Below are 25,138 nucleotides of genomic sequence, written 5' to 3' on the forward strand. Positions count from 1 at the left end.
GTACATTGATTTTGTATCCTGAGACTTTGCTGAAGTTGCTTATCAGCTTAAGGAGATTTTGGGCTGAGACGATGGGGTTTTCTAGATATACAATCATGTCATCTGCAAACAAAGACAATTTGACTCCCTCTCTTCCTAATTGAATACCCTTTATTTCCTTCTCCTGCCTAATTGCCCTGGCCAGAACTTCCAACACTATGTTGAATAGGCATGGTGAGAGAAGGCATCCCTGTCTTGTGCCAGTTTTCAATGGGAATGCTTCCAGTTTTTGCCCATTCAGTATGATATTGGCTGTGGGTTTGTCATAGATAGCTCTTATTATTTTGAGATATGTCCCATCAATACCTAATTTATTTAGAGTTTTTAGCATGAAGAGTTGTTGAATTTTGTCAAAGGCCTTTTCTGCATCTATTGAGATAATCACGTGGTTTTTGTCTTTGGTTCTGTTTATATGCTTGATTACATTTATTGATTTGCGTATATTGAACCAGCCTAGCATCCCAGGGATGAAGCCCACTTGATCATGGTGGATAAGCTTTTTGATGTGCTGCTGGATTCGGTTTGCCAGTATTTTATTGAGGATTTTTGCATCAATGTTCATCAAGGATATTGGTCTAAAATTCTCTTTTTTGGTTGTGTCTCTGCCCGGCTTTGGTATCAGGATGATGCTGGCCTCATAAAATGAGTTAGGGAGGATTCCCTCTTTTTCTATTGATTGGAATAGTTTCAGAAGGAATGGTACCAGTTCCTCCTTGTACCTCTGGTAGAATTCGGCTGTGAATCCATCTGGTCCTGGACTCTTTTTGGTTGGTAAGCTATTGATTATTGCCACAATTTCAGAGCCTGTTATTGGTCTATTCAGAGATTCAACTTCTTCCTGGTTTAGTCTTGGGAGGGTGTATTTGTCGAGGAATTTATCCATTTCTTCTAGATTTTCTAGTTTATTTGAGTAGAGGTGTTTGTAGTATTCTCTGATGGTAGTTTGTATTTCTGTAGGATCTGTGGTGATATTCCCTTTGTTGTGGGGTTGGGGGAGGGGGGAGGGATAGCTTTAGGAAATATACCTAATGCTAAATGATGAGTTAATGGGTGCAGCACACCAGCATGGCACATGTATACATATGTAACTAACCTGCACATTGTGCACATGTACCCTAAAACTTAAAGTATAATAATAATAAAATTAAAAAATAAATAAATAAAAATAAAAATAAAACTATTCTCCTCATTAGTACTCACTATTTCTGGCTCAGGAGACTCTCCTTCCCTTACAGTGTCCCTTGGACTTTACCTGCCTATGAAGCCCCCACAAACACCAGATAGCTCTTCCGAGAAGAGTTTCATAAAACTGGGGCTGTTTTTACTTCCTGCTGATCCTCAAGCTCCTTTCACACCAAATTCAAAAGGTTTGTGGCCTCTGCTGCACCTTTAGAAGGCTGTTAAGTTATCATCCCCACCTCTGATGCCTTTTCTAAGATGACCTCATGGCTTCCTGCTGCACTTGCACCAGCAGAAGGAATGCATCCCACATGAAGCCCATGGAAAGCACCATGGCCACAGCTCACCACATACAGGCAGATGATCTCTCTTCTGAGCTCCACACCCTTACGAGTAGCACCCTTCTGAATGTTTCTGTCTCAAGCTCAGCTTGTTCAAAGGTGGGTTTATCAGCATCCCAAGCAAACCTTCTCCTTCTCTATTGTCTGCAAATGGCTCCGACATTTTGCCACCCAGAAAAAAACCCTAGCAGTCATTCTGGATTCCTTCCTCTCACCATCCTCATCACACACTAGCCACACTTTATGGTTCAATCTTCTAAATTTCCCCTGAATTCACCCTGCCACCCACACTTTAGCTGAACCCCTTGTCACCAACGATGCTGGCTGTCATCCACTCTTGACCCTTTTCGCCAGAGTGATCTTCACAAACGCAAATCTGACTTCAGATTTCTCCAGAGCTCCTTGTAGTTTTCAGGATGGATGGTCAAGTTCCCTAATTTTGACCCCAAAGCCCTATGTGACTAACTGCCCATCTGCATGCAACAAGGAGCTCGGAGCCGCCCTTTTCAAGGCCGGTTTCTCCATGTCAGCTCAGCCCCCTCTCTCCTGCTTGGCTCCTCTCCTTAGATTTCCCCATTTTTCCACCTTATCTGTCTCTTCCTTTCTATTGGATCATTTCCATTGGCATAAACTTGGTCTCTCTGCCATCTTTGTCCAGCTACAACCATTGTTGCTTTCCTTTCTAATCATACTTGCCTGCAGAGATGTCCAATGCTTACCTCCAGCAGTTTGCTTCATGTCTGCTGCTGAACATTGCCCGTCTGACCTCTGCCCTTCCCAGCTGCTGAGACTGCTCTCCTCAGAACTGTCAGCAACCTCGTGCATCAAATGAAATGCGCTGTGTCCTCAGCTCACTCCAACTCTCCTTAGCATTCGACACTGCTCACCACTCCTGAAAATTATCTTTTCTTATTTTTGTTGACTTTGAAGAAAATTCCTAAGAAATGCTCCTCACTCCATTCCTCCCTACTTCACAGGGCTCACCCTAACTCTACCCCAGCACCCTAGTTAGTGTCATCCATCCACTGTTGTGGTTTTTCAATATGGTACCATTTATTTGCAGTTAACTTTCTCATTTACATTTCCAATCTAGACTTATCTTCTAAATAACATGAACTTCCCACTCAACATCTCTGCTCAAATGTGCCATTGGCATTTAGAACTGACCATGTCTCAACTCACCTCTGTCACCTGCCTCCCAGCACTTATGCCTGTATGTCTACGTGCAGACACATGCTGATATGCATGTCCAACACAGACATGCATGCTCACACACAAACACTGGCACACACACACTCATATGGAAATCACCCTCCAAATTTCCCCATATCAGTTAATGCACAGCCACCCACATTTGCTCCTCCTAGGAACTTGGGAATCCACCATGACAAACCCCTTTCTTCTACCCCCACCTGCACCCTTCCCCAAGGCCTTTGGATTCTATTCCCCAAATAAGTCTTGAAGGCATCCATTCTTCTCCTTCTTGGCTTGGGATAGCCTGGTCCAAGTCACCACCATTCCTGGCCTGGACTTCCTCAACAGCCTCCTAATTGATCTCTCCACTTCTCATCTTCTTCTTTTGCTGCTATCCCAATCCATATCCCACACACTGTGGAGTGAGCTTTTTAAAATACAAATCTGATCATGTCACTTCTTAAAACCATCCACACTTAGAATAAGGCATATGCTAAGGCAGCGTGATTGGGAAAGGACCCTCTGAAAAAGAGATATTTAAGCTGCAACCTCAAAGATGAGCAAGGGGACAGCCAGAAGAGACACAGACAAGGGTGCGTTCTACTTGGGGAAGACAGCAAGGGCAAAGGCCCTGAAGCAGAAACACTTGAATCCTTTAAGGAAAGAAAGGGGCCCATGTGGTTGGAGCATGGTGAGTGAGGCACAGAATGCTAAGACATGGTGTGGAGAAAGTAGCAAAGGCCCGGCCACACAGGACCCTTTAGGTCATGAAATGGGAACTTTCATAATTATTTTACATGCATGCCCTCAGGCTATAAGCTCCACAGAGCAGCATCCATGTTTGCCTTTTTCCCTTTGTTCACTTATTCCCCATGTCCACTTCAATGTCTGGCACATCTTTATAAATTATATGAGAGACAAATACCCCCAGCATTCCAGCCAGATGAAGTAGCTAGCAATTCCCCAAATGTATCATGTCTGTTTCTTCTCCTCACAGCCTTGTTCCTGTCTAGCTCAGTGATTCTCAACCAGGGGTGATTTTGTCCCTAGGGAACATCTGTTAATTTCTGAAGACATTTGTGATTTTCACAACTGTGGGGCAGGGGATGCTGCTGGAATCGGATGGGTAGAGGCCAGGGATGCCAGTAAACATCTTGCAGCAGACAGGACAGCCCCCGCGGCAAATAATTAGCATGCAGGGTCAACAGTGCTGGTTGAGGAACCCTGGTCTAGCTTTTCCTTTAAGCCCCCGGGAGCATCATCTTTTTTGGAAAGTTCTTTATCCTGATCAAACAGCTTGAACTTGGGGCCCCTCATCTAGGCTCCCCAAACCTCCTTGATGTCATTCATCCCCTTGCCTTGCAATTGCCCATTCTAACTGTCTCTCACTGGAAGCAACAGAGGCTGGACTATGTCTTCCATCAGCATCTCAAACACACAGTGGTCCACAATTAATTTTTCTTGAATGAACACAGCCCCCTGAGACAGGGAGAAGGATGAAGATGAATTTCATGGCACCATTTAAAAATGTATAGTTGACATAGATGAACTCATAGGTCAGAAGGACATCCCCAGCCTCCTGCTCTACCTTGAGAAGCTGCCTGTCTCCAGGTGTTTCTGCTAGTTTGTAACCTATGGAAATGGCAACTTCCCATGTGTCCAATATGACAGCATGGTTCACTCAGTTAGTCACTGCATTCAATTTTGTGTTATTCAAGTTTAATCCCAATAACATAAGACATAGAACTAGGGCATATGACAGATTTGTAATAGTGAAAAAAATAGGGCTGGAGAGTAATTTGCAGTTGGCTGTCCTGTGACCCACATATACTTAGCAAGTGTGGACCTGCCTGATCCACCGGCAAAAATAGAAATCCCTCTGGCCATGCGTTTGTGGGTTTCAGATGTTGTGCCTGCCATCAGAAACACTCAAAGCCCTCTCGTTTGGGTTTTGAAATGGACTCTGGTGGAGATGCTGTGCCTAGGGCAGGAAGGGGGTTCCTTCCAGTCTCCTGGCCCTCCTTGCTCTACACTCCATGCCTTTCCTTCCCCCTGACCCTGGTCCTCTCTCCCTGCCCTAGTGGCTCTGATACTGCTGGCTGGGGAAGGAGCAGTCCCAGGCCCTGGAGGTGAGGGCAGGGTTGGGTATCTCCCCTCTGGCTCACTGCTTCTCCTGCTGCTGTGCTGAGAGCACCTCACCCTGGGGCCGGGAACATTCGCTGTTGTCTGAAGGACTCTGCTCCTCCTCCAGCTGTTGGTCATGTGCTTGGCCCTGAGCCCGCCTTCTCTCCAGCATCTCCTCAAAAAAGATCTGACAGCTGAAGCCCTCCCGGATGCCATGCTGGGCGTGCTCCAGCAGAGCGTCCAGGGAGGGCAAGACCCTGCAGCAGGCCACGCAGCGCACCCCGTAGTTGGTGGTGACCAGCCAGTCCGGCGGCTCCCGCAGCTCCTGCAGGCAGCACTCCAGCAGGTCTATGTCCTCGGGCTCGGGGCTGCAGTTGCTCTTGCAGGCTTCCAGGTCCCAGCGCATATCGGTGTTGGAAGCCATTTCGAAGGAGGAGCCGTTCCACCTCTGCCTCTTGATGAACTGGGCTTCATGGATGCGGGGCTTCCTGGTGACCGGCTCGAAGCCGGCCTCCGTCTCCCAGGCCACAGCCACACCCCGCACAGTCTGCACGTGCGTGTAGAAGGCACACACACTCTGCGGAGCAGCATTGTCCTCATCGCACATGCAGGAGCAGCACGACTGGTACTGGGAGTAGGACTGGTACTCGGAGGACTCTGAGGATGGGGAGCTGCTCCAGTCCCGCATCCCCCGGTCCCTGGCAGCGAAGTAGAGGCCCTCCTCCCGGGGAATGGCAGGCCCCGGCCGTGGGGACGACCCTTCTCTCTGTATAGTCCCTGAGAAGCAGAAGGACATTGTCATCAGTGCCCTTTAAGGGATCAATGCCACATCTACCTTCAGGAGCCGCAGACTCTGAAAGGGTACAGGCTCTGGGAGCTCTTGAGCAAACACCGCCCCCTCTGCCCATTTCCTGAAAAAATGAAGATGGTGATAATGCCTGCTTCATAGGGTGTGGTAATGATTGAATAATGTATGAATGCAATCACCAAATCCTTGACTCAACTGAGAAAGACCATTAAATGGTGAATAACAGAGTTATATACACATTAGGGATATGATGATAAGGATCAAATAATGTATTAGAGTAATCACCAAGCAAAAGACCATCAACTGGGGAATAGGTAAGCTGACTGAGGTGTATCCATATGATGCAACCTGTTAAATCCATGAACCACTGAGACGTGCAACAATACGGATGAATCCTGAATGCATTATGCTAAATAAAAGAAGCCAATTAAAAAGGCCATGTAGTCATAAGAGAATGTGAACAAAAAAAAAAAAGAGTCCATGTCGTATATGATTTTATTCAGATGACATTCTAGAAAAGGCAAATTTTTAGCAACAGAGAACAGCTCAGTGGTTGCCCAGAGCTGGGGACGGGGTGAGAGGAGACTGGTCATAATAAGGCACAAGGGGACTTTTAGGGGTTTTGAAAAATCTTCTTTATCATGACTGTGTTGGTGGTTCCACAAATGTACATGTGTCAAACTTCTTTAAATTGTGCATTTAAAATTGCTGAAGTCTGTGTGCATAAAAGACACCTCAGTAAAGCCCATTTAAAAAACAACACATGCAAAGTGCCTTGGCCAAGCCACCCAGACCCACCATCCTCTTCAACATTTGTGACCTGTCTTCACCTTCCCGAGGGGGCATCTCACTATCTCCTTCAACACTTACTGTGTCCCTCTTGCCATGGAAGTGCTTGCCAAGTTTAATATTCAAAACAACCCTAAGAAATTATATTGTTAGGATTCCCATTCAACAGAGTAGGAAAGAGAGGCATGGAGTTTGAATGAGTGGTGGAGCCATTGGGCCCCCAGAGCTGGTGTGACACTTAGGTGCTGCCCACAGACACGTCCCCGCGGTCTTCAAATTGATGTTCTAGATTAACTTTCATCATTTTGTTATAAAGGAATTTTTTATTTCACTGCTGAAATCACAGGATGGACGTGTTGTTTTCTCAAATACACATTAAAATAAATACATAATTATAAACATTTTACATTTTCATTCTCATATCCCCTGAAAACACCTTATATACTCATAACAGCCTCAGTCACACCAAGTGTCCCATAAATATCAATTTCCTTTCCCTCCACATCTATGTTTATGGTCAACACAACCATTTGGTAACAGTATCAGGAGGCAACCTGGCACTGTCCCTTCCCATCAGGGCTTCCTTCCCAGGGAGCACAGCTGGCTGACCTTCCAGGCCTTTCTTTTCACCTACCTGGCCAGAACACTTCCACACTCTCCTCAGTGGACTCAGGGCTGGTCAAGCTGAGGGTGGTCCCATCGGTGGGTGACTGTTCTCCCCTGTGATCTGTGAAGTAGCATTTCATGATTTGAAATGAGTGCCCAGGGTGTCGGTGCTCCAGCTGTTCAGTGAGAGTTGGCTGGGGCTGTACTGAAGGCCTCCAGCTGGCCCCAGCCAGAGTGGACACTGAGCTCCCCATGGTCGCTAAGATCCTAGCTCTACTGTGTGACCTCATCGATGGCACTGGTCTGTTCTGTGACCCATGGCGAGGGCAGAGGCTGAGGCTGGATACCAGGAGAGGCTTCCCAACATGTTCTCATTTCCCCATGGGAACTCCTTTTCTGTCTTGTGTATTATCATGGACACACAGAAACACAAAACACACATACTCTTAACTCCTTAGACACACATAAAAACACAAACACATAAACACAGAGACACTTGTATACACTTAAGCATGCATGGAACCGCTGTCTTAGTCCATCTGTGTGGCTTACAAAGGGATACCTGAGGTTGGGTAATTTATAAAAGAAAGAAGTGTATTGGGCTCATGTTTCTGCAGCCTGTACACAAAGCATAGTGCCAGCATCTGCTTCTGGTGAGGGCCTTAGGAAGCTTCCATTCTCAGCAAATGGGGAAGGGGAGCAGGTGTGTTTAGATCACATGGGTAAGAGAGGAAGGAAGAAAGAGTGGAGGAAGTGACAGGCTCTTTTCAACACTCAGTTCTCACAGAACTAAGAGTGAGAACTCTTTACCACGAGGGTGGCACTGAGCCCTTCATGAGGGATTTGTCCCCGTCACCCAAACACCTCCCTCTACGCCCACCTCTCACATTGGATATCAAATTTCAACATGAGATTTGAAGGGGACACATGTCCATACTATGTCACTCACACACAAAGAAACGCATACATGATCACTCAGACACACATATACGCTGGAACACATATGGCACACACAGTAACATAAACATATGTACGTGTGTTCACATAGACACATAACATGCTCACACATACAAATTCACACACATATTTACTTAACCACACACACATACATGCACACAAATTCATGCCAGATTAATTAACCATACATAGGCTCACATACATACAGTCAGCAGCCAACATAAAATGACCCTGCTTCCCAGTGTGGAAAATCTCTCCTTCTCTCCCCCATCTTACGTCCCCACGCTGACCCTGTTTAGCTCCTCAACCCTCCACAACCCCACCCCACCCCTCCCCTCCCCTCTCCTCTACTCACTCCCTTGCTCAGTTCCTGTGACTCCAGACACTTCACTGCTCCCGGACATGCCCGGCATCCTCCCCTCACGGGCTCTGGGCTCTCGCACTTGCTCTTCCTTGTGCCTGTTCCAGGCTTTCCCCTAGGTTCCTGTGTGGCTCTCTCTCCTTCCGGTCTCCTCTGAAACATCACCTGGTCAGAGGAGCCTGCCTGGCACCCCCAGGAAAAGAGCTTTCTTTGGCCCTACAACTCTCTGTCACCTTACCCTGCTTTATTTTTCCATGATAGCATTTACCACCCTAGGCTGTATATAATGTCTGTGTGTGTATCTCATGGGTTTACCTGTATCTGTCTTCTCCTCCTTAGATGTAAGCTTAGGCAGGTAGGGACTTCCTTCGTTCCATCCACCTCATTATATCTCTAGTGTCTAGATCAATGTTTTACATATTAACAAGCACTCAGGAAATAATGAGTAAATAGCTGATGAACACGTTGGGCTGAAAAAGGCGTTACTCCCTCTGGGAGCTGCCTCCTCTGTGCTCCCTGGATCTCTGCAGTTCCAGGGTGGTTGGTTCTCTCCCACTAGGACTCTGGGAGTTGCCTCTTCCTTCTCCATTTGCACAAACCACGCTTCAGCCTCAATCAGCCTGATAAAATGTTCACCTGCCATCTCTCTGCTCTGCAACACGCTGGCACTTCACTCATTTCCTCCAACAAGCTTCTTACCACTTCCCTCTGTGGCTAATCTCTTCCCACCCTTGGTCAGTCTCATCAACTCTATTCCTTTGAATCCCAAATACTAAACAGTTCAGATAGGTGATGGATTGAAAATAATCCCAATATTCCACAAGCAACATCAACATCCCCCACACACCCAGCACCGAGGAATACCCTCCTCTCTAGAATGTGAGGCCACTGTGTGGAGGAAGACACCACGGTGCTCTACTGAGCCATGAAAGTCACGCCTGACCTAAACAGAAGACTACGTCCCCTGGCTAAAAGAGGAAATAGTGTAAGTGCACCCTTTTTTAACAAATAAATACAAAGACTTGCCTTACAAAAACAAGAGGGGGCAGCCAGCACAGAAAATAAGTAGGTCATTGGGGGATGGAAGGCAGTTCAGAGAGAGATGACATCATGGAGAATTGTTAAGCGGCAAAGTAAACAGCAAGTCTGGGAGGAAAGGAGACTCAGCCAACAAATTATGCTGAAAAATTATATTCGCTATTTTTTTGAATCAACTTTGGTCTCACTTCATGTAAAACAATTAAGAATATTTTCATAATGGTTCAGAGCTTACGCTTTAATGAAAAATGTGTAGAAAGAAAATATGTTAACATTTGTAATTACAAGGTGCTTTTTCTCAACTTAAACAATATTAGTCTTCGCAAGCATTGAGAAACTTTGTCATCTTTTCTAATTTCACTGCTTTAAAAAACTCACTGTTTCAATTTGCATTCCTCTGCTTTTCAGTGGAACTGGAAAAAAAAGCAAATGAGCAAGCAGTTTCCAGGGGAAGAAATGCAGAGGGATGATAAATATATGAGAAGATGTTGAGTCCTACTGTAATAAGGGAGCTACAACTTAAAAATGTGTAGTATACAGTATAGCACTTTTCACCCATGAGATAGGTAAGAGTTAAAAAGATGGACAATACCCAGTGCTGGTGAGGACGTAAGGAAATGAACACTTTTATTCTCTGTTGGAACAGTGTACCTTAACTTTCTCAAAAAGTTTGGTGGTACCCATTAGAATTAAAAGTGGGCAGGCACTTCCTAAGCAGTTTACTATCATCTCTTTCCTAGGGAACAGCCACATTACATGATATGTGCATAAAATAGCACCTAGAGAAATATTTATTGCAGCATTGTGTATAATAGAAATAAAGACAGGAGACTTTCCTAAGATCCATCAAAATAAAGAAACTACAACATAATCAAACTGTGGAATACTACACCACGATAAAAAGAAAGAGATCTATACATACTGATAAGTGAATTCATGTTAAATGAAAACACAAGATACAAGGAATAGATAGATGACCCCACCTATGTAAAAATCAAACATACTCCCTCAAAAGCACTGACCAAATTCTATATTGTCTATGTATCAAAAGGCACAGAGGAGATCTGAAAATAATCACACCCAAGAGAAAACAGTGTTGACCTCAAGAAAGAGGAAAAAGATTAGGTGGGGCTGTGTGAGACCAAATTTTCCAAAGATGGCCAAACCAATCTATATCACAACCCACATGCTCTTCTGATAACACGACAGCGTCCTTCTTCCTGAACTGGGGTGGATTTTGTAACTGCCTCAATCAACAGAATGCACAGGAGTGATGTTTTGTGACTGTCAGTGCCAGATCATAAAAGATGTGACTTCCTCCTGGTTCTGTCTCCCTTCTCCTTTGGACTCAGCCACTATGTTGTGAGGAAGCCTAGGCCACATGGAGAGGCCACATAGATGTGTTCCAGGCAGCAGCCCCAGCAAAGGTCTCAATCAACCACCATATGTGTGAGTGAAGGAACCTTCAGATAATTTTGCTTCCCAGACTTCAAGTCTTTCAGCTGGGGTCCAAGACATCACAAGGCAGAGACAAGCCCTCCTGGAATTCCCCACCCACCGTGAGCATAAGAAAACTGTGAGCATAAGAAAAGGTGTTTTACACACTAGTTTCTGGGGCAATTTGTTACAGGGCATGGTAATTCAATGGACTTTGATTTTCCCTTGTAATATTTAAATATGTTCTAGTGAGCTAGTTCGTTAACCAGCATCTGTGCTCTGTGCTTCTTCCTGGCCCAGTCAGGGAAACCTGGGGGCCAGGTGAGCCCTGTGGTTTTCCCAGGACAACTTGGGAGGATGGTTCCCATTCTTACCCCATAGGAAACAACTTACTAGATTGCAATGTTTATATACGGTTGCTTTTGTAAAGGCAAAAGCTTTACAATTTGGGATCCAAACGATGTTTTCCAAAGTCCCTTGAGTCGGGTCTTTCTTTACCCAGAATCTATATACGTTCTTCCTAATCCTCTCAAAAATTATACACTGTGAACCCTCCTTAGAGATAGGGAGCTTGGCACTTCAGAGGGGTTTGATGAACCTTGGGTGGGAAAGCTGGGAGAGAAGTGGCTTCCATCTCACGCCTGGGGGCAGGGCTGCATGGCCAGGTTGCTCTGATGTTTCCTATGGGCTACTTCCCTGGGGCTAGTTTGGAGTGAAGCCCCTCAGATGGTGAGCGATTGTCCTCCTCACTCACATGGCCTCTGGCTGTTTCCGTCTATGGGAAGAGCCTCTGCCCCAGCCGCTCTGCTTGCTCCATGCAGATGTTCAGCTGAGACCACCCACAAAGGGCTCCCACCCATCCCCCTGCCACTCTCCAGTGGGTTTTCCAGCCCTGCCAGGAACCTCTGCGCCTCACTGCTGCAGCCAGCAGGGCTGGTGTGCAAACCCCCAAAAGGACCAACGCAGCACTTTCTTGGAGCTCTGACGCCTGGCCAGCTCATTGCACACATTGCATGCGAGCCCTAAACCTCATCCAAGAGGCCTGGAATATTTTCTACTCTTAACTTTTCTTCCAAAACCTACTCTTCCCAGCCTCTGTTTTTCCCAGCTGAGGAGGCTAACAGGAAATAAAGTGGCCACAGCCACAGCAGGAAGCAGAGAGGCCATGTCTCTCTTCACTTCTAATTCCAGAGCTTGGCTTGCGCCCCAATCTGGGCTGTGGGGAGAATCACATCATTCATTCTGGGGTCCATGGGAGTCCAGAAATAATCTGTCCATTTGGCCAAGGGGTGGTGCTTCGGTCTTAATCATGGCATTTCTGTGGCTAGAGCCACTGTGTAAAGGTGTTGCAAACGGGCAATGATCCTGCTCTTCTCTCCACACCGAAAGTGGGGCCCCTCTAAGGGGGCAGGTGCCTTGCCACCCTCCCAAAGTTATCCTATTATCAGATTTAACACCCGAGGGCAGGGGAGAAGTGGGAAGCTGCCCGGATGCTGCGCAGCAGGTTTGCATGGAGTGGGGTTGGTGGTGTTCAGAGTGGGAATTTTTCCCAGTGAAGGTCAGTCCTCAGGGCTTAGGGATGACCTCATTGTGTGCTTGGGCTGCAGAGAAAGTGCCAAAAGCTATCAGACAAACTGAGAAGTGGGGTAGGGAAGTACTATCTTTTGGGTTTATTTTCTGTTGCTTCTTGTAACTATTTTAAAAGAAGTGAGTCAGTGGACCACAGAAGGCTCAGCTCAGCCACAGGGAAATGTAATCCGGAGGACTCTTCTTCAGCTCCCCCAAGCAAATAGGAAAGGGAGTTTTGCTTTTGTTTTTCTTTAGACATAATAACAGGCTGCTCCTTTGGTGGGTTTGTTTGGCGCTGTCTCGGGTTTTGGCCTTCACCTCAGAGTGCCCACACAAATAGCCAAGGCCTTCCCTCTCATCAGGGAACCAGGAGGGGGCTGGTCCCTGGGGCTGGGTCCTCAGTCATGGCATGGCTGTGCTCCAGGCCCCAGAGCCCCACCTGGCCTGGAGCCTGCTGCATTTTGCTCAGCTCTGGCCCAGCAGGGCTGTGAATGTTCAACAAGGTTGTGGGATGCAGAAGTGTCTTCTTCCAACACACGCTTCCTTGGAAGGGCAGCTTCAGCTGAGAGGAAAGACTCCTTGCTGGATGCCATGCACGTGACCCAGGATCCCAGGATCCCACAGGATCCCAGCACTGGCCACATCCTGTGTATGTTCTTGGAGAGCCATGGTGGGAGCTCTAGGGAAAGGGGTCTTCTCTCTCTCTATGTCCAAAATGGGCTGGCCACAGGCCACGCTGGACACAGCCCTCAGGAGCCATTCCTGTCTTCTACTGGGCCAGCTTTCCTGCAGCATGGCACAGCTCTGACTTGGAGGGTGAGACTCGGGGACTCAGAGGCCGACAGTGAGTCACCTTGATGTCTAAGTGTGTGAGGGTGAGAACCCAGGACCCAGAGGCTGACAGTGAGTCACCTTGACGTCAAAGTGTGCTGTGCTTGATTCCATGTTCCTTTTAGCCCACATCCAAGACTAATGGATGTCTGTGGCTGGAAAGCAGAAAATATGTTCACAGAAAACTCCTGAGCAGAGCTGGGATGACTTATTTTAATCCCCACAATTGGAATAGCTATTTCAAAGGCATGGCTGAAGATGCTTCTTCCCAGCCTGTCCTGCAGAGAGATGATGCAGTTGTTTAATGGATAATCCCAGTGTCCTGAGGAGGCCAGCAACTGTCCCTTCTCCCGCACAGCACCCAAAGTCTTGAATGGATCCCTGGCCCTCCTGGAATAAAGTATGCATAGGGTGGAGAACTTCTGGGAAGGTTGGATCAGGCCATGTCAAATTCCCACAGGAAAATTCCCAAGAAAGGCCCCAGGCCAAGGCTTAGCAGCCAGAGGGGAAGCAGTCCATTCAGTCATGCCCCCCTGCAGTGCAGTGAGACTGGCTGGACATTGGCTGGGACATTGGTTTCCAACACCCCATCTGCCATCCCCACCACACCTCCCCACCCCCAACATTACAAACACACACACACACACACACCACACCCCAGGCCTGTGAGATTTGCTCTAGTTCTGTGAGCTTTGCTCTAATATGGAGGACTGGTTCAAACAATCCTCCACTGCTCCAAGTGCCAGCATGTTCACGTGACTATCTCACAGAGGCAATAACTTTAGTGGGGCAGAACTGAGATCTGGCACATCCACAGCACAACAGGGAGTGGCTAGAGATGGCCGAGCAGTGTGGCTCCCACCTGACCAGCAAGCACCATGACCATCCATGTCTGGGGAGGAAAGAGACCCGCCAGCCATAGTGTGAAACAGGCAGTCAGCTGGGGCTCCCTTCTAAGGAAAAGGCAGCTCTCCTCAGAAGCCGTCCCAAATCCACCCTGGCTCTCAGGAATTCAACAAATATGACAAAGATGAGAAGGGAGAAAGTATGAATTATTTTTTGCAAGACAAGACTATAAGCATCTGCATATTTAAATTTTGATTCATGTCTTTGAAACAATTTCCTGTTTTGAAGATAACTCAGCAAATACATTCTTACTTTATTGGAAACAGCATTTATTAAGCTATTTATGTAGCACAAATTCACAGGTCATGATACATTACGGTAAAATATCACCAAACAAGCCAAAAGGTTATTTTTTTCTATTGTTTTCTGCCTTAGTGAAAGCGGTGTAAATGGCTCTTATCTGAACCACAATGAATTCACATATTCAAGTTGGCTTCTTCGGAAATTTCAGGCCACAAATGGCAGTGATGCGACCAGGAGCAGTAACACGGTAGGTTCCACCACCCAACCCACAGCAAATTAAATCTATCACAATAAAGCCAAACCAAGAAAATTAAAAGGCAAAATAGCAGCAACTGGAAACTGATCTCTCAAGACCTCATTGATGAGCTTCTGGAAACAAAGCCTACTTCCCCCACGTTGCAAGGCCTGTCTCCACAGGAGATGTGTGTTGGAGAGCTTGGCTGCGTGGTGTGAGCACCAGATGTCTTAGCAGGACCCCAAAGTTCAATCCTCGGGAAGCCTGGGACTATTTTAAAATATAAGTGCCAAACATTTGGAATCAAACTAAGTCAGATTACCAATGTGTAGCCCTCAGTCACATGTAAAAAATGAAAGTCAATATAACCAGTATAACCTTTCCTCCACAAGAATGGCATAGTGACTTGCATTTTTAATGAGTTTATGGCCAAGAGGGGCATCTAGTAGTGTGCTGGGGCCAGCTGGTACTGGCTAATGAGAACCAGTTGTTAAATCTTTCAAGAACTTTGAAGCCAGTTGTTAAACACAGCCATCATCAACATTAAAAATAGTATAAACTTATAATTAAATAAATTATATTAAACATGAAAGTAATAAATACTCAAACACTCCACATCCTAATTATTTTACTACATTTTAAGACACAGTGGCAGCTTGTTAGAGGGCTTGGTGGGAGTATTTACACCATGGTAATAAGCAAAGGCTAAAACCAGGGGCTTCCCCCTCCCCGGCCAGGAGCAAGTGGTTGAATATTTACCATCACACTACTGGGGGTTCCCATAGGAGATGACCTGAGCTAACAGTGTGGCCGTGAATATAAACTCTCAAGCAACCTGTTCCCCAATAATGCTAACTTTCTAGAACAGTTCCCATTATATGGGCTGCATTTTAATTGGTCAGGGAAATGCTCAGAACCCTCCCACCTGCACAGGAGTCTGTCGTCCAAAAGACCACCAGGATCACTAAATAGTGAAAAGGAGATCCTTATTGGTGATAGCAGTTGGGGAACTGTAAAGAGACAGTCTCTGGCAAGTACCAAGATGCTCTGTCTTTGAAGAGGGGAAGGGCAATTTGGGTTTCACGGCTCACAAGGCTGGTATCCTATGTATGCAGCAGGTTTGGGGGAAAAGCTGTACATATTTATGAGGAGAGTCAAGTGCATGCACAGTGGGTAAACATGTATGTCACATACATCCCATGTTTACTTTGAGGCAGGGTTTTAGCATTAAAAGAAGTAGAATTTGGCTTTTTATGACAAAAGGTGAACCATATGACACAAAGACAGTTTGTGCACAGCCTCTGTAAGCTGCTGAAAATGGCTTAAGGTCTGCAATTGCTTATCAAGAAAGAATGTTGGTAAGGGCATCCTCTGTCCAATCAGAGTTGTAGTGACTGGGTTGTAAATAAGACTTGGAAGGGGTCTGATAGCACCATTGTTAGGGAGTTTGGAGCCATAGGAATATAGAGATTACTCATGCCAGCCAGGCCCTGAACCAACCTGTAGGTAACTTTGTTTCCTTAACCTTGGTGTCTGTCTTAGTTGATACAGCGGTGTTTATTTTGATCTTTCAGATTACAAGTCGCAATTTAGGAAGGGTGCTCCATCATCATTTCATGATTCTCACTACAGCCCAGACAGGTGGGCAGAGCAGTGTTCTTTCCCCTTTAATGAATGAAGAAGCTGAGCCTCAAACAGATGAGGGGGCTTCCTGGGTTCACAGAGCTCTAAAGGTGGGAACCTAGCTTTTTCAGTGACATTAGCTAGATGTGGTGGGCACTTCTCACTAGAAAAACAAGAATTAAATCAACGTGAGGTCCAGAACTGGTGTCCCCTGTTGGAAAAATAAATTGAAACTAATGTTCTGGCAATAGGTAGCAAAAACTTTAAACCTATGGTACCATCTGTCTTGACAATCTTACCTCTAGAAATTGACCCCTTAATAAATTAAAACTGTGTCTTTATTAGCCCATTTTCATCAGCCCATGTTCAATATAGCATTGTTTATGGGAGTGAACTCAGAGGCAACCTAAGTGCCTGAGGTGGAGGTTGGGCTAAGTTGGTTTGGTTGCATCATCCTCACCTGGAAACTTGTTAGAGATGCAAATTCCCAGGCCCCACACCAGGCAGACCTGCTGGTTGGGAAACTCTGCAGTGAGGCCTGGCAATCTGTGTTTCAATCAGCCTTCCCTGGATTGATTCTGGTGCCTGCCAGAGTTTGAGAACTCCTAGGTTAAGTAAATTATGGAACAACTAAACAATGGAATTCAATGTAGTGAATAAAGCACATGGGAAAATCTGTTCACAATATTATGATTATAAGCATATACCAAATAATCCCAGTTATATAAAACCTAGAACATGCATGCATATATACACACACATGTAAAGTCTGAAATTTTACATGACAAGCCTTAGCAACATTTCTTTGTACGAAAAAGAGATTCCCATCCTTTTGTTAATCTTCTTCTATGATAATTGTGTAAGAAAATAAGCAATAAATTACTTCCAGCTTTATTTAAAGGCTAATGAGGCTGGAAAAAACATATAGGCCCACAAGCAAGATTTTACAAAGCCCCATGACTCCTGGCCACTCTGTCCTAAGATGCTCCATACCAGTCCCCTGGACAGGTCTCTCAGCCTGGATCCCTTGAATGGACATCAGCCTTTGGGTTCCAGAGCATTCGGTTCACTGGGTGCAGAAAAGAGGCTAGGTTGAGGAGTGGAAACCTGCCTCTGACCACAAGGGGTTAAAACCTAACTGGATGGGAAGAGGCTCCTGGGAAAGATGTGACATTTGTTTGCAAGGAAACATAAACAATAACAGATGAAGACAGTAACATGTGGCTCAGAGTGAGCCTGATCAAAGCCAGCTGGGCAAGCAAGCTCCAGGCCTGGCTGCAGGAAGAGATACCCTAGGGGCAGGCTTGGGTGGAGAGGGTCTGTGGGGGAGGCCAGGGCAGCCTCTCCAGCTGTGGGGACTGCGCCAGGGAGTGTGGCCAAGAATTCCAACCTTTTTGGGGGAAGTTGGGTATGACTGAGGCTTCAGACACTTGAGACCTGAATTAGCTGCTCCAGCTGCTGGGAAGGATGGCCCACCCAGAACTGTCTTCTTAGCCCCATGGTTGTAGAACAGAAAACAGTCAGCATTTACCTACACCACCAACCAGGTGCAGAGCACATTTGCCTTCAAGAATACATGGATTCCAGCCAGGATGGACATGACTTGCCACAGGCAGGCTAAACCGTTCCCTTTCAGTGACTTTCTAAATGGGGTGGTAATTTCATTATGTCATCAAGTATGGTAGTCCCAGAGCAGATGATTTTTGAGCCCCTCTTCCCCATTTTCCAGGTGAATTTGCTTAAAGGTCACAGAGCTGCCGAGTTGTGTAGCAGGCGTCGGAGCCAAACGCCCATGTCTATCTACAGAGTGCAGGCTTTTTCCATCCCAGCAAGCCGGATCCTCATCCATTCCCACCTGAGCCCTCCCAGTGCCTCCCTCTGCCCTCCCCAGCTCAGGACACCTGCCCCAGCCAACAGCTCTTCCAGCCACCACCATCCATCAATTCCTCTAAGTGGCAGAGCCCCATAAAGAACCAGTGTGAGCCCAGACTTGGTATTACCATGTCTCCATCCTGCAAAAGTGAACACAGCTCTACAGTGGTTATTTCAAACTGTGCCAGGCAAATGCTAAGCACATATTATAAATTATCATTAATTGAGGAGATGTTTCCTTTTGGGCAGCAGAATACCTCACTGGTTCTGCGGACAATCGCTGAAGCTTAGAAGTTGCAGTACATCCACAAGTTTTCTCAACTGGCCTGGGCCCAAATATGACCTTGCAATGTTCTCCCTCATGGCTTTCAGATGACAGCACAGGCTCCCCACTCAGAATGCGGCAGTGGAAGAGGGGCTCCCTTCCAGCCCCCACGTGATGTCTGAGAATGTGACCTGCCCCCGCCTGCAGGTTCCAGGTGTCAAAGTCACCTCCTGTCACCGTCCTCTGATTTTGTTCTTTTCTTTCTCCCCTTTTTACCATCTCTTCCCTAATGTTGGGTGAGTCATTACCATGCCCATTTAGAAAGTCACTGAGAGAAGATGCATTTAGCTTGCCTAAGACCATTTCATGCCCTTCCTGGCTGGAATCTATCTTTCCTTGAAGAGACATTGAGGGTTTTAAGTGGCAAAACTTCCCCAAACAATCCCTCTTTGGACATTATTTTCTTTCTACAAAGCTTCACTCCCTTGAAACTTGTGGAAACTCTTTTTGAAGGCAGATCCCCTTTCTGCCAACCAGCTCTTCTGCCCAACTCCTTCTCTAGGAAGTGGTGTCAGTGGCCTTGGGCTTTTTCTTAGGAGGAGCGCACTAGGGTTCAGGGGCATAAAACCCTGCATGTGTTTGTCTACAGCTTTGCTCATTCCTCAGGGCTGAGCTGTAGATCCACGGCCACCATGATGAGCTAAGAGTTTCTGGATTCAGTGCCTGCTGTTGCTCCTGGAGATTTGTATCCTGATTGAAGGCTGGTTCCATATCTGTTCACCCAGGTAGTGGGGATAAAATTCATCTCTAAGCGAGCTACTCCCAAGAAAGAGAAGAGCAATGAATGCACCCTGGCCCTCCCCTGCTGACCTTCTCAACACCCACGGAACCCTGAGCCTAACATATGCCTGTGCCTACTGCTGTGGTCACAGCGTCCCCACCTTCACCTCACTCAGACATTGGGCTGACTTTGATCTCTAATCTTAGCTTGTTTTCACCACCTTGCTACCCTGTTTGCCTTTCTGGTCTCACAGTTCATTCTGTCCATGTTGCTCTCCTATCTGGGGGCTCTCTCAACCAGGTTCACCCACAGAAGCAGCAGAAGCAGCTCTGACCTCTCTGCCTCCAAGAGCAGCCTGGCATAATCGGAGCCAAACCTGAGGTGTAAACTCAAAGAGGCCAGAGAGGAACATGCTTCTGTTCCAATGTCAGTGCTCCAGAAACCCTGGAGACCAGCCTCCCCAGTAACACTAATGCTCAGACTTCTTCCACAGTGGAAATGCCACATGCAAACTGCAGTTTTAGGAGTAAAAATTCTATCTGCCCCTAGAAAAATTCTTGTGTCTATGGCAAAAGAATATACACAAGAATTTTTGTTACATGTGTTTTACAGTAACAAAAAAACTAGAAAAGGCACGCAATAAAAGACTGACTAAACCATTGGAAATGATTTCAATTAGGAAAAAAAATAGCAAAATGTTTAAAAGGCAAAAAACATGGGTGAGCATGTGGGAAAAGATATTGCTTTAGACTGTTAGAGGGACAGGGAATTGATAGGGATTCAGTGAGGAAGATTTAGGCAGTAACTAGTACAACTTTTATTTTCCATTTCTCCCTATGGTAATTATCCTAGCTAGTTTCCCAACCTCTTTTTTTCTTTTACTTTTTTTTTTTTTTTTGAGATGGAGTTTTGCTCTCGTTGCCCAGGCTGGAGTGCAGTGGTGCAATCTCAGCTTTCTGCAACCTCTGCCTCTGGGGTTCAAGTGATTCTCCTGCCTCAGTCTCCCAAGTAGCTGGGATTACAGGTGCGCACCACCATGCCTGGCTAATTTTGTCTTTTTAGCAGAGGCAGGGTTTCACCATGTTGACCAGGCTGGTCTCAAACTCCTGACCTTAGGTCATCTGCCCTCTTCGGCCTCCCAAAGTGCTGGGATTAGAGGCGTGAGCCACTACACCCAGGCTCAACTTCTTTTTGAGCAAACATAGTCATTTAAATTTGGGAAGAAAATAACCCATTTTATCTGGATGTTCAAATTATTTCTATAAAAATATTCTTTATAGTTGCTTATACTATTTGGATATTTTTAAAGGAATAGCAACAAATGTTTACTAAGCACCTGCTCTCTGCCCAGCACTGCCCTGGCAGTGAAAAAGACAAAATCCTTGTCCTAAAGAAGCTGGCATTACTGTGGAGGATGAAAAAAAAATAGATGGATGCAAGCATAAATACATAACATAATGCCAGTGGCAATAAGTGTCCTCATGATAAATATAGCATGGTAAGTGAATATATAACTAAAGGAGTGTTCTCAGGGGAGGCCTCCCTGCAGAATAATGTGGGGGAAGAACATTGAGTGGAGAGAGTGATCTGCCATTCAAGAACCTGGAGAAAAAGCTTTCCAGGTAGCAGAAACAGCAAGTGCAAAGACCTAGGCTAGATATGGCATTTTTAAAGCCTAGTAATTCCATGTGACTCTTTTATACTTTCCATTTGCCTGCCAAGGATTCCCCTCTGTTCACCTTTCTGTTCATTTCACCTGAAAAAATATATATATATTTACAATAATTGTTTAAGTCCTTAACTGCTAATTTCAACATCTGGATTATAATGGGTTTACTTCTATTGTCTGTTTTCTCTTGTTAAGAGTCATGTTTTCCTGCTTTTTTGATTGCCTGGTATTGTTCCTTTAAACATTGTGGTTGATGCATTATAGAAACTCTGGATTCTGTTATCTTCCTTTGAAGAGTGTTGATGCTTAGTTGTTCTATGTTTTCTTAGATTCTGTATTTGTCTACTAAGCATCCATTAATTACAGGGCCAAACTAACAGCTACTGTTGTATATATCTGCCCTGCAGTCCAGTTTCCCTAGGTGCCTGAAAAATCTTATCCCTGGCTGGGCACAGTGGCTCACAACTCTAATCCCAGCACTTTGGGAGGCCAAGGCAGGCGGATCACTTTAGGCCTGCCTGGCCAACATGGCAAAACCCCATCTCTACTAAAAATACAAAAAGTAGCTGGGAGTGGTGGCACGCACCTGCACGAGAATCGCTTGAACCTTGGGTGCAGCCTGGGTGACAGAGTGAGACTCCATCTCCAAAAAAAAAAAAAATTTATCCCAAACTTTCTCATCTATCCTGAGTGTGTGCCCCAACCACCTTCTTTACCTAACTCTCACACACCAAGCCAGTATTTCTCCTGCCCTAAATCACTCAGGGCCAGTCATTCAGACAACTGGAGACCAGAGCCCACCAACCCTATCCACACTAGCCAGTACTAAGTTGCTTCCCCTTTCCTGCCTTGCTTTTCCCATGGAAAGCTCAATAAAGGCTCTGGGCCATGCTTTTCTCTGGCTCTTTCTACCTTTTGACCAAACCTGGTGCTTCCTCCCTGTGGCCTCTTGGGACATGGTATGTCCCCTTCTCTTAGGAAGTGTAAGTACTGTAATAAATTATTCCTTCCATGACATGAGCTCTCTGTGTTGTCTTTCAGTCACCTTTAAAATTAAGTCCTGGGCACAAATCATTAGTCTGGCAAGTTACATCACTGGTAAGTTACCTTGATTCTAGAGAATCCTGGTTTTAGGCTGTGTTGACTGGGTCTATTTCAGTTCTGTCTCTAGTCCTAGAGCACAACCCCTAGTCTTGGTTTTCATGGGAAGCCAGCTGTGCTTACCAAGTATATTAGCGTTCTCCAGAGAAACAGAACCAACAAGATGTGTGTGCGTGTGTGTGTGCACGTGTATATGTATGTGTGTGTGTATATATATATATATATATATATATATATATATGTATATATAATATAAAGTGGTTTATTTTAAGGAACTTGCTCACACAATTATGAAGCTGGCAAGTACAACGTGCAGTCTGGGCCAGCAGGCTAGAGACCCAGGAAGAGCTGAGGTTGCAGTTCCAGCCTGAAGGCCACATGCTGCAGAAGTCCCTCCTGCTCGGGCTTTGCTTTGTCTGTGCCTTTGAATAATTAGATGAGGCCCACCCAAGTTACGGAGGGCAATCTGCTTGACTCAAAGTCCACGAACTTAAATGTAAATCTCATTCACAAACACCCTCACAGACACATCCAAAATAATGTTCTACCAACTATCTGGGCATTGTGGCCCAGCCAAGTTGATACATACAATTAAGCATCACACTAAGTCCTTCTATTAATACTTTGGCAGGATTTAAACTTCAAACTTTGTCTCTCAATGGCAGGACAGCTGCTGAAATCTCTGCTCAGCTCTTTTTAGCCTTCCAGCTGTTGTTTTCCACTGAGCCCCTTGGCATTTCATTCTCTGCATGCCAAGTTTAGGAGTCACCCATCAATTTAAGGGGAATTTTGAAGCAGAGTTGGGGTCTCTTCCAAAATCAAAAGTTGCTTCCTTTCTGGGATTGTTCCCCTAAATTCTAGCCACTATGACAACATCAAGCCCCAACCTCTGTCTTCCTAGCACAGTAAGATTGTCACATCCTGCTTAAACTCTCTTGCCCTGTATGCAGTGTAAATGGGAACAGGTCCTCAGAAGTCGATCTAAATAAATGTGGAGCTCACCTACCTACTTCTTTTCTTTTAAGGGCCAATTACTCACTGGATCCTCCTTTGAAGCCAAGGTCTAGTGTCTTTTGGCAGCTCTGGTAAACTGTGTTCTCTTGTCTGATCTGTCCTTTTTGTGCTCTGTCTGCTCCCTCCTCCTAGAACACCTATTAAACGAGCACTAGAACTCCTGGATCTTCCCTCCGCATCTCTCAACTTCCATTTCACAGAATTACCTATTGTCTTTCTGCAACTCGCTTTGTGAAACAGAAAACTGATTTCACAAAATCCAGACAACCAAATGGCTGAACACGTTAGCACCTTGTTTGTCTCCATAGACTTCCTGACCCTCCTTCTACTCAGCCGCAGCTCTGTGCACAGCAATGTCCTTACTTACCCATCCCAGCTTGCCATGTGATTTCATGCTTCCAGGCATTGGCATGCCAGGTGCCAGACACCCTGCCAGGTGCCAGATGCCCTGTCTGCTTTTCTGACCAACAAACTCCTTTGTGTCCAGACAGAGATGTTGCTCTGCTGGCCACTGTGATTTTCTCTTTTTCCTGGGATCCAACAGCACCCTGTTCACACCTCAAAAGTAGCACTCACTTACCCTGTTTGCCTGTGGTTTCCTCTGTTAAGGCCACATCTATGTCTTCCTTGTTTTTTCCCATGGTGTCTCATACCATACTTTAGAAGAGGGAACATTTATAGAGCACCTACACATTTTGGACACTATTCCAAGTGTTTTACATGCAATAACTCTTTGGCAAGTCATAGCAACCCCCTAGGGCCATCATGGTCATTACAAACGAGAAAACTAAGATGAAGTTGAGTCACTTGTCAGGGGTTGCGCACAGATAGTAAGCAATTGGCCAGGAGGAATTAGACCTTAGCCAGCTGGATTAGGCCCACACTCTGAACTGTGAGAAGGAACGATTCCATCCACAAAGGGGCACACTGATCATAATGGTGGGTTGTTAGAGTGCATGCAGCTGTGTCTACAAAAGCTAGGCTACGAGTGCAGATATAATTTACATGAGTAAAGTATCCACAGGGTATAACAGGTGCTTGCCACCATCCCCTGAGAAGGTTTTCTCCTGTTCCATTGTGTCTTATTTTCCTTTTGAGACTGACCATTTCCTTATGTTTGTCAGTGCCACTTCCATCCGGACAGAAGGAACCCAGGTCAAGGCTGACAGGAGGAGCAGGAGCCGTCAATGAGAGCAGACCTCAGAAGCCAACGGAGGTGAGAAGAGCACCATCCACAGCCCCATCCTCTGAATGCTGTGGGAAGAAGTCCACAAAATACCACCCCTTGGAGTCAGTCAGTAGTAGAGCCCTTGCTGCTGGCTGCAAATACCCCATCAGAACATGTTTGGGGTGATTCTTGGACCTGGTTTCAATTTCTTTTCTGCCAGTCAGCAGTTGTGCTTGACTCACAATTTGTTGCCATCTCTTGAATTAAACTCAGGAAACAGGATAAAGATCAGAACCACATTGTAAAAGCTTCCTTATGGTTCATTTTTTGCTGAGATAAATAATGAGCAGCTCTGATCCATGTCTCTGGAGAGCTCAGAGCACACTACCAGGAGCTCCTAGCCACAGGGTGAGCACAGGTGGCTGGTGTTCTCTTGATGAGGAAAGACAGCAGTGTCCAATCTACCCTGCCTTACACGGAGCCCCAGGTGCTCTCCCGGACTGTGTTGCTACCTAAAGCACATGGCAATTGCATGATGCTAACCAGAGCAGCCCCTCACTCATTAGAAACATCTGCTTTGCATTATTTACACAGGCAAAGTTTTCCTTTTTACTGAGCCTACCCAGTTCAAACTTAAGTGGGATTTGCCAGCTATCTGGCTAATTTTATGAGCAATAATAAAGATTGGTGAACACTTGGTTTTTGCATAATTATAATCAATTTTATGTTAAACTTAGCTTAAAAGAAATTTATCTTCATGAGAAAAATAGACAGACTTTAGTGAGGACCAATCTACAAAATGCCTGACCAGAGTTCTTCAAAACTGTCAAGGTCATCAAAATCAAGGAAAGTTTCAGAGATTGTCACAACCAAGAGGAGCCTAAGGCAATGCTGTGACTAAATGTCATGTGGTGGTCTGGATGGGGTCTTGGACCGGGAAAAGGATACTAGATAAAAACAGGAAATCCAAATAATGTGTAGATTTTAG

The 25,138-nt window shown here is 45.7% G+C and overlaps 1 protein-coding gene and 1 long non-coding RNA gene across 2 annotated transcripts in view; one reads left to right on the forward strand and one right to left on the reverse strand.

The window, feature by feature from the left end:
• FAM170B-AS1 (FAM170B antisense RNA 1) overlaps positions 1 to 24,849 on the forward strand; it is a 29,709-nt gene extending 4,860 nt beyond the window's left edge. Inside the window, exons 2-6 of the long non-coding RNA NR_038973.1 lie at positions 8,958 to 9,383; positions 14,555 to 14,669; positions 16,232 to 16,390; positions 19,084 to 19,202; positions 24,107 to 24,849. This is a non-coding gene — a long non-coding RNA (FAM170B antisense RNA 1). The remainder of the gene's footprint in view (positions 1 to 8,957; positions 9,384 to 14,554; positions 14,670 to 16,231; positions 16,391 to 19,083; positions 19,203 to 24,106) is intronic.
• Positions 4,456 to 7,323, reverse strand: FAM170B (family with sequence similarity 170 member B). The gene is made up of 2 exons (NM_001164484.2): positions 7,109 to 7,323; positions 4,456 to 5,654 (listed from the first exon to the last, which is right to left on the reverse strand). Exons 1-2 carry the CDS (start codon positions 7,218 to 7,220, stop codon positions 4,915 to 4,917), a joined length of 852 nt encoding a protein of 283 aa, NP_001157956.1. The 5' UTR covers positions 7,221 to 7,323; the 3' UTR covers positions 4,456 to 4,914.
• Positions 24,850 to 25,138: the final 289 nt, after the last annotated feature.

This window comes from Homo sapiens, chromosome 10 (assembly GCF_000001405.40).
Source record: "Homo sapiens chromosome 10, GRCh38.p14 Primary Assembly".
Classification (NCBI taxonomy): domain Eukaryota; kingdom Metazoa; phylum Chordata; class Mammalia; order Primates; family Hominidae; genus Homo; species Homo sapiens.